This window comes from Homo sapiens, chromosome 16 (assembly GCF_000001405.40).
Source record: "Homo sapiens chromosome 16, GRCh38.p14 Primary Assembly".
NCBI classification, from domain to species: Eukaryota; Metazoa; Chordata; class Mammalia; order Primates; family Hominidae; genus Homo; species Homo sapiens.
In genome coordinates, this window is record NC_000016.10 from 89,898,468 (window position 1) to 89,911,387 (window position 12,920).

The 12,920-nt window shown below is 59.2% G+C and overlaps 1 protein-coding gene across 1 annotated transcript in view, besides 1 other annotated feature; it reads left to right on the forward strand.

The window, feature by feature from the left end:
- Window positions 1–12,912, forward strand: part of TCF25 (TCF25 ribosome quality control complex subunit) — a 37,788-nt gene extending 24,876 nt beyond the window's left edge. Inside the window, exons 10-18 of the mRNA NM_014972.3 lie at window positions 90–182; window positions 300–405; window positions 2,168–2,327; window positions 5,651–5,738; window positions 6,471–6,629; window positions 7,727–7,817; window positions 8,776–8,855; window positions 12,124–12,196; window positions 12,613–12,912. Coding sequence (NP_055787.1) covers window positions 90–182; window positions 300–405; window positions 2,168–2,327; window positions 5,651–5,738; window positions 6,471–6,629; window positions 7,727–7,817; window positions 8,776–8,855; window positions 12,124–12,196; window positions 12,613–12,771 — 1,009 coding nt within the window. The 3' untranslated portion in view covers window positions 12,772–12,912. The remainder of the gene's footprint in view (window positions 1–89; window positions 183–299; window positions 406–2,167; window positions 2,328–5,650; window positions 5,739–6,470; window positions 6,630–7,726; window positions 7,818–8,775; window positions 8,856–12,123; window positions 12,197–12,612) is intronic.
- Window positions 11,754–12,048: a silencer, noted in NCBI's record as "tiled region #15702; HepG2 Repressive DNase unmatched - State 25:Art". NCBI's record gives its function as "represses a minimal TATA promoter and a strong SV40 promoter by Sharpr-MPRA in HepG2 cells {active_cell/tissue: HepG2}" and the evidence as "EXISTENCE:reporter gene assay evidence [ECO:0000049][PMID:27701403]".
- Window positions 12,913–12,920: the final 8 nt, after the last annotated feature.

Genomic DNA, 12,920 nt, shown 5'->3' on the forward strand with positions numbered 1-12,920 from the left:
CGGGGTGGAGTGGGTGCTGGCCGGGGCGCTGAGCAGAGAGCATTCTCCTTTGTGTCGTTGTAATTCATGTGGAACTATTTTGGATCTAGGAGCTTCTACCTGGCCCTCTACAAGCAGATGAGCTTCCTGGAGAAGCGAGGCTGCCCGCGCACGGCGCTGGAGTACTGCAAGCTCATCCTGAGGTGAGTGTCTGCTCAGGGCCAAGCCCGTCCACGCTCCCTGTCCTGGCTGCAGGCCCACTCTCAGCCTGACGATGCCCCTGTTCCCCTTTGCTCTGCTCTCTGTGCTGCCTCCGGAAGTCTCGAGCCGGATGAGGACCCCCTCTGCATGCTGCTGCTCATCGACCACCTGGCCTTGCGGGCCCGGAACTACGAGTACCTGATCCGCCTCTTCCAGGAGTGGGAGGTGGGTGCGAGCCTGGTGAGGCCCCGTGGAGGGACGGACACCTGCTTCTCCTTCTGTTTTCTTGGTTCAGTATCTGTGCGCTCAGGGGACGTTTGGGGATGAAACGATAATCGTCTGAGGGCAGAACCACGTCCTCCTGCCTTGTTTGTCTCCCTTGCCGCCTCTACGGAGTGGAATGTGGTTTTCCTAGGGACAGTACAGCAGCCTTATGTCAGAATCCTCATACGTGTGTACACATGCTCAAACGTGTGTACACATGCACACGTGTGCCTGCAAGGACTGTGATGCTGGTAATGATGAAAAACCGACAACTCCCGAGCTCCTCATGGGCAGTTCAGGAAGATGCAGCCGGGAGGTAGAAGGAGGGTTGGTTGCGTGGGGCTGACACAGGGACCCCCAGCACGTCTGTCCTGTTCCATGGGAAGAGTGTGAGTACAGCAGGAGAGACTTGAGCTCTGTCCCCAGTAACTCTAACACAGACACGTGTTGGAATGATAATTTCGGTGTATTGGGTTAGATATAACGTATTAATCTCACCTGTTTTGTCTTTAATGCAGCTCCCAGAAAATTTAAATTGGGCCGGGCATGGTGGCTCACGCCTGTAATCCCAGCACTTTGGGAGGCCGAGGCGGGCGGATCACCTGAGGTCAGGAGTTTGATACCAGCCTCAACATGGAGAAACCCTGTCTCTACTAAAAATACAAAATTAGCTGGGCGTGGTGGTGCATGCCTGTAATCCCAGCTACTCGGGAGGCTGAGGCAGGAGAATCGCTTGAACCTGGGAGGTGGAGGTTGCGGTGAGCCGAGATCGCGCCATTGCACTCCAGTCTGGGCAACCAGAGTGAAACTCCGTCTCAAAAAAAAAAAAAGAAAATTTAAATTGACACCTGGGCTCCCATTATGTTCCTATGGGGCAGCACTTATCTGGAAGGACACGGGCTTTGTAACGCTAACCTCCAGCAGGGCCTGGGGCTGGGGAGAAGGCGACAGCTCTTGACTTTCTCTGCTTCTGTGTTGAATTTTTTTCATAGCACATGTTCATGGATAATGAAAGTGGGTAAATTATTTTGAATTTTTAAGCATTTGGCATAGTTGGCCAGGAAGTCTCACCCCCAGGAATGTGGTTTATAGAAATTCCTGGAGCTCACAAAAATGTAGGTGCAGGGAAACCTCAGGGAGTCCCCCAAAATGGGGCTGCAGAAGAATGTTGATGATGGTGTTTAAGGTCACAAAACTGTGAGTCTGTGATCCCATTTTGATAGAAAAAAATGCAGTGAGTCACATGTCTACAATATGTGACATAGGCTGAGAAAGGCAAGAGAAACTGGCACGGTGGTAGACTGCTCGGAAACTCGCGTGGCGGGCTGCTCTCGGAAACTCGCGCGGCAGTGGGCTGCTCTCACAGACTCGCGCGGGGGTGGGCTGCTCTCGTCTGTAAATTTTCCACATTGAGAGCACCAACTGCTCAGCTTCAGAGAGGAGCCTGGGCGGCAGGTGGGACCCTCACTCCCCACGGTGTCCTCGCTCCGGCTCAGTCTACTTCTCAGGCCCTCCCACGTCCTCTGTATCTTCTGCATGCGGAAAGCCCCCCAGGTGGACGTTTTAAGTTATCTTTATGCTGAGTTAGGAAGAGGCCCTTGCGTTGCCTGCAGAATATACCTGCTCGGGGTAGGGCTCACTGGTGATGTCAGAGCGTCTGCAAACTCACATATTTTGTCTTTATGACTTAAGGCTCCACGCTCTGTTTCTTCGTCCCTCGTAGGCTCATCGGAACCTGTCCCAGCTCCCTAATTTTGCCTTCTCTGTTCCACTGGCGTATTTCCTGCTGAGCCAGCAGACAGACCTCCCTGAGTGTGAGCAGAGCTCTGCCAGGCAGAAGGCCTCTCTCCTGATACAGCAGGCGCTCACCATGTTCCCTGGAGGTGAGTGAGCGCTGTGTCTCGCCTGGGGTAGGGGTGTGTCCTGTCAGCCGTGGGGGCTGCTCTTCCTGGTGGTGGAGGCCAGGTCCCAGTCCTTCCCCACACTTGTAGAAACATGCATTCTCTGGTAGGGCCTGCAAACCTGCCCTACCAAACCTGAAAGAGGGTCGGCTCATCTCGGAACCCGCTGCGTGCCAAGCCAGGCACGAGGAGGTGGCAGGCATCCCGACCCCCGTGGGGCCTGTGTTCTAGAGTGCAGAGACAGAACTGGCTGGGAGGTGCGGGGCATTGGATTGTACCAGTGCTGGGGAGGAGAGCAAAGCAGGGGAAGGTCTCGGCAGCGCCGAGGTGTGGCCGAGAGGGTTGTGCTCTGCACCATGCTGGGATGCAGAATGGAGGCCTGTGCCGCCCAGATGGACTCAGCCTGCACAGCCGTGACCCCTGACTGCATCTGGGTAGCTTCGATCCACGCACATGTGGCGGGCACAGTGAGGCTGCCACCTGGTCAGACCTCGGGGCTGACCCTGCCTGACAGCATGTGTGAAATCCCTCTTTAAGATGGGCCTCCTCCGAGGAGCTGTGAGGGGTGAGGGTGAAATCCCTCCTTAAGACGAGCCTCCTCTGAGGGGCTGTGAGGGGTGAGGGTGAAATCCCTCCTTAAGACGGGCCTCCGGCCGGGCGCGGTGGCTCACGCCTGTAATCCTAGCACTTTGGGAGGCCGAGGTGGGCGGATCACGAGGTCAGGAGATCGAGACCATCCTGACTAACACGGTGAAACCACGTCTCTACTAAAAATACAAAAAATTAGCCGGGCGTGTTGGCGGGCACCTGTAGTCCCAGCTACTTGGGAGGCTGAGGCAGGAGAATGGCATGAACCCAGGAGGCAGAGCTTGCAGTGAGCCGAGATCGCGCCACTGCACTCCAGCCTGGGCAACATAGTGAGACTCCGTCTCAAAAAAAAAGAAAAAAAAAAAAAAGACGGGCCTCCTCCGAGGGGCTGTGAGGGGTGAGGGTGAAATCCCTCCTTAAGACGGGCCTCCTCCGAGGGGCTGTGAGGGGTGAGGGTGAAATCCCTCCTTAAGATGGGCCTCCTCCGAGGGGCTGTGAGGGGTGAGGGTGAAATCCCTCCTTAAGACGGGCCTCCGGCCGGGCGCGGTGGCTCACGCCTGTAATCCTAGCACTTTGGGAGGCCGAGGTGGGCGGATCACGAGGTCAGGAGATCGAGACCATCCTGACTAACACGGTGAAACCACGTCTCTACTAAAAATACAAAAAATTAGCCGGGCGTGTTGGCGGGCACCTGTAGTCCCAGCTACTTGGGAGGCTGAGGCAGGAGAATGGCATGAACCCAGGAGGCAGAGCTTGCAGTGAGCCGAGATCGCGCCACTGCACTCCAGCCTGGGCAACATAGTGAGACTCCGTCTCAAAAAAAAAGAAAAAAAAAAAAAAGACGGGCCTCCTCCGAGGGGCTGTGAGGGGTGAGGGTGAAATCCCTCCTTAAGACGGGCCTCCTCCGAGGGGCTGTGAGGGGTGAGGGTGAAATCCCTCCTTAAGATGGGCCTCCTCCGAGGGGCTGTGAGGGGTGAGGGTGAAATCCCTCCTTAAGACGGGCCTCCGGCCGGGCGCGGTGGCTCACGCCTGTAATCCTAGCACTTTGGGAGGCCGAGGTGGGCGGATCACGAGGTCAGGAGATCGAGACCATCCTGACTAACACGGTGAAACCACGTCTCTACTAAAAATACAAAAAATTAGCCGGGCGTGTTGGCCGGCACCTGTAGTCCCAGCTACTTGGGAGGCTGAGGCAGGAGAATGGCATGAACCCAGGAGGCAGAGCTTGCAGTGAGCCGAGATCGCGCCACTGCACTCCAGCCTGGGCAACATAGCGAGACTCCGTCTCAAAAAAAAAGAAAAAAAAAAAAAGACGGGCCTCCTCCGAGGGGCTGTGAGGGGTGAGGGTGAAATCCCTCCTTAAGACGGGCCTCCTCCGAGGGGCGGTGAGGGGTGAGGGTTATTTGCGTGCAGCTAGTATACACACATTACGTGACCACTCATCGCCTATTAGGATGTCCTGGAAGCAGCATCCCTTTCTCGGTTCTGTGGGTTTCCAGGGCTCTGTCTGGGCCCCGAGGAGGCCCACGGCGTGGGGTTGGGCAGCTTCTAGCACAGGCAGAAACGTGCCCCCCAGAGGGGCCTGGCCAGGCCTCAGTCTGCTCGCTGACCCCAAAAGTTTCGTCCCCTGTGTCTAAGAAGCACCTTTGTCCTCCTCTGGGGCTGCATGCAGCTGGCCATATGCTCCACCAGTGCAGCCGTGTCTGGAAACGCGGCTGGGAGGCCCTGTCCTTTGTGGCAGAGCTGTGCTGCTGTGTCACAGGCTGTAGCGTCAGCACCTCCCTTGAAGGCAGGTGGGCTGCCAAGAAGCCGCTGCCACTTACCCCAGAACACTGGAGATCACTGCAGGCTCTGCCCTCGGGGCCCGTTCCCCTACATGGCGGCCTCTGCCCTCAACCTGCAGTGCTGGCTCTTCCACTGGGCACAGGTGGCCTCCGCTCCCACCAGCCTGCCATGGGGTCCAGTCTTTGTGATTAAAACATCCAACCGGCCGGGCACGGTGGCTCACGCCTGTAATCCCAGCACTTTGGGAGGCCGAGGCAGGAGGATCGCTTGAGCATAGGAGTTCGAGACCAGCCTGGTCAACACGGTGAAACCCTTTCTCTACCAAAAATATAAAAATTAGCCGGGTGTGGTGGCGGACGCCTGTAATCCCAGCACTTTCGGAGGCTGAGGCAGGTGGATCACCTGAGGTCAAGAGTTCAAGACCAGCCTGGCCAGCATGGTGAAACCCTGTCTCTACTAAACATACAAAAATTAACCGGGGCGTGGTAGTGTGCGCCTGTGATCCCAGCTACTCGGGAGGCTGAGGCAGGAGAATCGCTTGAGCCTGGGAGGTGGAGGTTGCAGTGAGCCGAGATTTCGCCAACGCACTCCAGCCTGAGCAACAGAGTGAGACCCTGTCTCAGAAAAACAAAAAAAAACCCAACCCCATGTGTGTGGAGGGTGGTGGGTGAGTCTTCCCTTGGATGCAAATGGGGGCCCTGGCAGCCTCCTTGGGGCTGGTGTGAAGGAGACCCCCAGCCTCAGACCCTGGGCACGCCAGCAGCAGCAACTCAGAATACCACCCGGAAGCAAGCCGCTGGCCCTGCAGACTCTCCACCTTAGAACAGCTGTGTCTGTGACAAGGACCTCGCTGTGTCCCTTACTGCCTTGGGGGCTAGGAGTGGCTGGGGTGTGTGCTGAGGGCCCCCACAGAGCCTCCGCTTCCCCTGCAGTCCTCCTGCCCCTGCTCGAGTCTTGCAGTGTGCGGCCCGACGCCAGCGTTTCCAGTCACCGCTTCTTTGGACCCAATGCTGAAATAAGGTAAAGAGTGGCTGGTGGTGCCCATCTGTGGGTGCCTGTGGGTTCGGAGCCTGGGAGCCATTTTCACTCATCCTGAGAGGCCCTGAGGGACCTGCTTCCAGCAGCAGGAGGGGCTGTGGTGGCGGCCTCGGGGACTGTCATTTGACATGGGACGGCTCTGGAGCCCTCATCTGTGTGGAAAAGTCCAGGTGGGACAGCTGAGCAGCCTCCAGCTTAAAAACGAGGCTCATATAAAGAGGGTGCCAGGCGTGGCGGCACATGCCTGTAATCTCAGCTTTTTGGGAGGCCGGCTTGTGCCTGGGAGGTCAAAGGTACAGTGAGCTGTGTTTGTGCTGCTGCACTCCAGCCTGGGTGATGGTGAGACCCCGTCTCAAAAAACAAAATAAACAAAGAGGGAGCAAACACAGGAGAAAGTGCACGCCTTGGGGTCATCCCCTGGCCCTCCAGGGCTCGCCCTGTGTGCACGCAGATGGACCCGCCCTGGGTGCATTTTCACATTTCTGTGACGTCAGTCCTGCTTCCTAAAGAACATAACCTGCCCAACAGGCTCACGGCACATACCTGTGTGCCCCAGCCCCACGCCCTCAGGCCAGCAGCCCAGGGGCCTCCTTTCACTCCAGGCCACAGGGCACTCCCTGGACCCCCCGTCTGCCCATCCATGGGGCTCTGCCAGCCTCGAGGCAGGCTGTGGTCTGAAGAGGGGTTCTGCTCAGAGCCCTTGCTCTCCCCCAGCCAGCCCCCTGCCCTGAGCCAGCTGGTGAACCTGTACCTTGGGAGGTCACACTTTCTCTGGAAAGAGCCCGCCACCATGAGCTGGCTGGAGGAGAACGTCCACGAGGTTCTGCAAGCAGTGGACGCCGGGGACCCAGCCGTGGAAGCCTGTGAGAACCGGTGAGCTAGGGGTTGACACAAGCCCTGCCACGCCCCCTCCTCAGGGACCCTCATCCCAGACACGGGGGCCTCGCATTCGGGAGGCGAGAAGGGCTGTGAGCAGCTTGGCCTCCCTTGCTGTGGGGCCTGTGTGGAGCCTACAAGACAGCGCACAGCCCCTGGCGTGTCCCAGAGGCTTCCTGGGAGGCAGCTGTGGTGATCAGCGCAGGGTACCGAGCTGCTGTTCCCGGGTGCCTCGGGCTGGAGTGGTGCCTTCGGGTCTTGCAGTGTTTCCACATGAGCTGTGAGATGATGACGAGTCTCTCACAGCAGCATCTTGGGAGTAAAGAAATCTGGCAGAGACGAGAAAGAGTCTCCTGTCCTGTGTGTGAACACTTCGGAGGCTCATGCCCTAATATGCTGCAACTGACAGGCATCCCCTTGCTGTTCTTGTCTCGTTTGTCTGCGCCCTTGGCCCTGTGCTAGTTCTGTGCATCAGCACCGTGGCTCTGTGCAGTGGTGTGGCCAGGCTCAGGACCGCCTGGGAGTGGTGCCCATTTGCATCTCCACAGTGAAGTCTGTGTGCCGCGGACATGAGGTGTGCCCGGGGGTGCCCAAGAGGCGCTGGTGCCCCCAGCCGCTGGCAGTCATGGGCCCGTCCGCGTGTCTGCTGTCCCCACTGGACTGGACATTCTCATGGACAGGAGCATTTTGTTCCCTGTACTGCTCTCCAAGAGCGATTTCCAGCAGGGACCAGTGCCTGTGCCTGTAGCCGTAGCAGTGACGATGGTGACACACCCAGGTGTCCCTTCATGGAGATGAACTCAGTGACTTCCCACAAGAAGCCACTGGCTACGGCTCTCATCGTTCTTGTTCTTTGGATGAAGAGGCTGAGTCACTGGCCATGTGGCTGGGATTGGTCCCCAGAGGCTCCCCAGCCGCAGGCCAGGGACCAGCCATGGTGCCTCTGCTCGAGAGTAAAGTGTACAGTTTTTGCAGCCACCAGAGATGCAGCGAGATGCCTCGTGCTGGGTGGGGGTGGGGGCCGAGGCTCCATGGCGGTTACCATTTCATTTGCTGTGCTTTATCTGCTGTGCCTTGTTTCTCCCCGGCCCTAGGCGGAAGGTGCTCTACCAGCGTGCACCCAGGAATATCCACCGCCATGTGATCCTCTCTGAGATCAAGGAAGCCGTCGCTGCCCTGCCCCCGGTAAGGGAGAAAGGCTGAAATGGGAGCTCTGTGTAAGCCGGTCACATGCACGTCCCTTCTGCTCCGGGCGGTCCACATGCAGGCGTGCGTGGTGCGGGCTCCCTCAGCAGCCCAGCCCCGCCACGGCAGGGGCAGGGTCTAGTGCAGAGGGCTCCTCCTTTCCTGGCAGCCCGGGTTCGGATGCTTGTTGTTTTGAGAGAGAAATCCTTTGGGGCTCAGAGCACAAGCTGAGTCGTCACCGTGGTGAGCTGCTCCATCCGTGGTCTTGTGAGCGCGTGGTGCGGCTGCTGGGGGATTCTCTGTAGTCGTGGGGTGTAGTCCTGCTCTGACGCCTCCTGTGCTGGAGGTGCCGTTTCTGTCTCAAAACCTAAGGAGTTTGTACTGTTGTTAAGGGATAAGATAGAACGAGTGAGAAAACCAGCAAGTCAGAGGGTCGCAGGACCGTGGACCGTCCACTGGGGACAGCTTAGTGCCTCCTGGTTTAACTTCAGCTGCTCTGCGGGCCCTTATGACCGGCATGGCTGGCTTTGTCTGGGGCTGTGAGCTTCTGACTCTCCTCAGTAGAGTGGCAGCACGTGGCACTGTGCAACCCGAGGGCAGCTCAGGGTCCCTGTAGCCTGCATTTGCTGAAGTGGGAGCTTCTGACACGTGGTGAAGATGTTGGCAGGCTTGAGCGGCACGTGACCCCCTTCCTTCCCCACCACACACTCTGGTGTGCAGGGCAGACGCCGTGCAGGTTCATCTCGACTCCCGTGAGTGTCCTGGTGGCAGAAGGACTGTCCCACCCTCACCCAAAGCTCGTTGGTACAAAAAGCACAGCCGTTTCTGTCAGACTCTGTGGCTATCTCTCAGCAGATGCATCCAGTCCATGCTGGAGTCGACAGAAGGACTCTGCTGGGAGAGGTAGAGGCCCCCTGGCAGCATCTGTAGCATCTTCGTTTTATGTCCCTTTCTGAAGGACGTGACCACGCAGTCTGTGATGGGGTTTGATCCTCTGCCTCCTTCGGACACAATCTACTCCTACGTCAGGCCAGAGAGGTACCTCCCTCCTTCCAGTTCCCACCTCCCAGCTCCCACCTCCCTCCTCCCAGTTCCCAGCTCCCAGCTCCCACCTCCCAGCTCCAACCTTCCAGCTCCCAGCTCCCACCTAGCAGCTCCCGGCTCCTGGCTCCCACCTCCCTCCTCCCACCTCCCACCTCCCAGCTCCCACCTCCCTCCTCCCACCTCCCACCTCCCTCCTCCCAGTTCCTACCTCCCATCTCCCAGCTCCCAGCTGCCACCTCCCAGCTTCTGCCTCCCTCCTCCCAGTTCCCACCTCCCAGCTCCCACCTCCCAGCTCCCGCCTCCCTCATCCTAGTTCCCACCTCCCAGCTCCCAGCTCCCTCCTCCCACCTCCCACCTCCCTCCTTTCACCTCCCACCTGCCACCTCCCGCCTCCCACCTTCCAGCTCCCGCCTCCCACCTTCCAGCTCCCGCCTCCCTCCTCCCAGTTCCCACCTCCCACCTCCCAGCTCCCACCTCCCAACTCCCTCCTCCCACCTCCCACCTCACCTCCCTCCTCCCTCCTTCCAATTCCCACCTCCCAGCTCCCAGTTCCCACCTCCCAGCTCCCGCCTCCCACCTCCCAGCTCCTGCCTCCCTCCTCCCAGTTCCCAGCTCCCACCTCCCTCCTCCCGCCGCCTAGCTCCCACCTCCCAGCTCCCGCCTCCCACCTCCCAGCTACCGCCTCCCTCCTCCCAGTTCCCAGCTCCCACCTCCTACCTCCCAGCTCCCGCCTCCCACCTTACAGCCCCTGTCTCCTCCCTCCTCCCAGTTCCCAGCTCCCAGCTCCCGCCTCCCTCCTCTCACCTCCCCTGCCACCTCCTGCCTCCCTCCTCCCAGCTCCCACCTTCCAGCTCCCGCCTCCCTCCTCCAAGTTCCCACCTTCCAACCCCGCCTCCCTCCTCTCAGTTCCCACCTCCCAGCTCCCACCTCCCAGCTCCCTCTTCCCTCCTCCCAGTTCCCACCTCCCAGCTTCCTCCTCCCACCTTCTAGTTCCCACTTCTTTCCTCACAGTTCCCACCTCCCAGCTCCCATCTTCCAGCTCCCAGCTCCCACCTCCCTCCTTCCAGTTTCCACCTCCCAGCTCCCACCTCCCACCTTCCAGTTCCCACCTCCTTCCTCGCAGTTCCCACCTCCCAGTTCCCACCTGCCAGCTCCCACCTCTTTCCTCGCAGTTCCCACCTCCCACCTTCCAGCTCCCACCTCCCAGCTCCCTCCTCCCACCTTCCAGTTCCCACCTCTTTCCTCGCAGTTCCCACCTCCCAGCTCCCGCCTCCCTCCTCCCAGCTCCCACCTCCCAGCTCCCACCTCCCACCTCCCAGCTCCCACCTCCCAGCTCCCACCTCCCTCCTCCCAGCTCCCACCTCCCGCCTCCCAGCTCCCACCTCCCGGCTCCCGCCTCCCAGCTCCCAGCTCCTGCCTCCCACCTGCCAGCTCCCAGCTCCCGCCTCCCTCCTCCCAGTTTCCACCTCCCAGCTCCCACCTCGCAGCTCCCAGCTCCCAGCTCCCACCTCGCAGCTCCCAGCTCTCTCCTGCAGCTCTGAGGTCAGGGCTTTGGGGCTCACAGGGACTGGCTGCCTCTTTCAGACCCAGATGCTGAGAGATGGGGCTCAGGGCTAAGTGGGTCTTTCCCCTCACAGGAAGGGAGAGGAGGAGAGGAACAGTGTTATTTGGGGGTCACAGCTCTGCGTTTGCAGGCCACGTTCTTTCCCATCTCCACCGAATGTACAAGCGCTTGCGTGTCGGCCTCTGTGGCAGGTGCGAGTGACACAGTGGAAGCAGGTGTGCAGTGAAGTGGGGAAAACATATTAATTTTAGAATGTAGAAATAAACATAAAATCAAAACTGCACCAGCCTGGCCAACATGGCAAACCCCGTCTCAACTAAAAATACAAAACTTAGCCAGCTGGGTGCAGTGACTCACGCCTGTAATTCCAGCAGTTTGAGAGGCCAAGGTGGGCAAATCACAAGGTCAAGAGATTGAGACCAGCCTGGCCAACGTGCTGAAAACCCGTCTCTACTAAAATACAAAAAAATTAGCTGGGCGTGGTGCCGCACACCTGTAGTCCCAGCTACTTGGGAGGCTGAGGCAGGAAAATTGTTTGAACCCGGGAGGCACAGGTTGCAGTGAGTGGAGATCGTGCCACTGCACTCCATCCTGGCGACAGAGGAAGACTCCGTCTCAAAAAAAAAAAAAAAAAAAAAAATTGGGCGTGGTGGGTTGTGCCTGTAGTCCCAGCTACTCAGGAGGCTGAGGCAGGAGAATCCCTTGAACCCGGAAGGAGGGGGTTGCCGTGAGCTGAGATCACGCCACTGCACTCCAGCCTGGGTGACAGAGTGACTCCATCTCAAAAAAAAAAAAAAAAAAAATCCTCCAGTAAGGTGTTTGGAGGAAGGATGGTGGCTGTGCTGAGACGGAGAGGATGAATGTGCCCTCACCAGGCTCAGGGGAGAGGGTCCTTGTGTTCCCCAGCAGAGTCACGATGTGCCGAGGCCCTGTGCCAGGAGCAGAGCACACGGCACATTGAGAGAACAAAAGCCCCATGGCCAGACCGGGAGAGCAGGGCTGCGGCGCAAGAGGGCCAACTGCCAGGCGGCCGGTGTGTCTGGCTTTCAGAATCCGGGTCATTGAAAGGCTTTTTACCTTTTCCTTCTGGGCTGGAAAGTACTTGCCTTACCCAGGCCCCGTCACCCGCACAGCGGTCGTCGTGATTATCCCTGCCGGCAGGGTGTTGCAGCATTGAGGAATCGCGGTTCTTTGCTGCCTCCCTCCGCTGTGGAGCCCAGGCTTTCGCCCTCCCTAGAGCTCCTGAGGCCTGGCCGCTCAGCGTCCTGTAGAGCCGGGCCGGTAGCCCTTCGCACCGTGAGGGTCTCCGCTTAACGCAGGCCCTGGAAGCTTCTGCCTTTGCGTAAGGAGTGGGTGCTGAAGGAGACGTTGAAACTGCAGCTTTTCTGAAAAGCAAGGCACCTGTGCAGTGGCCGAGGATGGCTGTGGGAGCCTCGCTCCGGACGCCACGCCTGCCTCAGCTGAGTTGGTCTCCCTCATCCTGTTCCCGCTGTCCACAGCCCCACCCTAAGCTGATGAGGAAGCCTCACGGGCCACCCGGGGAATCCAGGGCCTGTGCTCAGCTGCTGCTGCTCTGCCCCCTGGCGGCCCCTCCGTGTCCCTGCGAGGGAGGCAGCTGGCAGGCAGCCCCGTGAGCCGGGTTGGGTCCCACGAGTCTCAGTTCAGTGTCGTTTCTGACTTTTCTTGACTTTCTTTCAGGCTAAGTCCTATCAGCCATGGAAACACCATTGCTCTCTTCTTCCGGTCACTGTTGCCAAACTATACCATGGAGGTAGGTTGAGCTCGTCCCAGCCCCTGCCTCCCCAGTGGGTGCGGGCATATCCATTCCAGTGCGAATGCCTGGAGCCTCCTTGAACCAGGACTGTGCCAGCCGGCACAGGGAGCAGGGAAGGACCAAGGCTGCATTGTGCCAGTGGGGTGCCCATTCTGCCGGGGAAACTGGGGCCTGCCCAGATGGTAGCAGATGCAGGGCCGTGAGTCAGCCGGCTTGATCCCACTCTGTGCCTGGCTTGGTCTAGACACGGCATTTGGTTTTGAGAGCTTCCTCCTCACAGGGACCTGGGGAGGGTTCAGGGTCCGGTGCTGGGGCAAGGGCCACCTCGGGCTCCACAGTGCCTCCTGCTTGGGCCCCGGGCCCCTAGTCCCAGCACAGACAGCCCCCTTCTCAGACATGTCCCCTTGCTGCAGGGGGAGAGGCCCGAGGAAGGAGTGGCTGGGGGTCTGAACCGCAACCAGGGCCTGAACAGGCTGATGCTGGCTGTGCGCGACATGATGGCCAACTTCCACCTCAACGACCTGGAGGCGCCGCACGAGGACGACGCTGAGGGGGAGGGGGAGTGGGACTGAGCGTCCGCAGAGGTGACCGAAAAGCCGTATGATGATGTTCCCGATTTCTCTGTTGGTCGGAGTCGGCCAGTTGCCTGAAGTAGGGAAGCTGAGTGTGTCGCTCCCTGGTCCACTGTTTCTCCTATAAATGTAAATGGGTCACGCTCTGC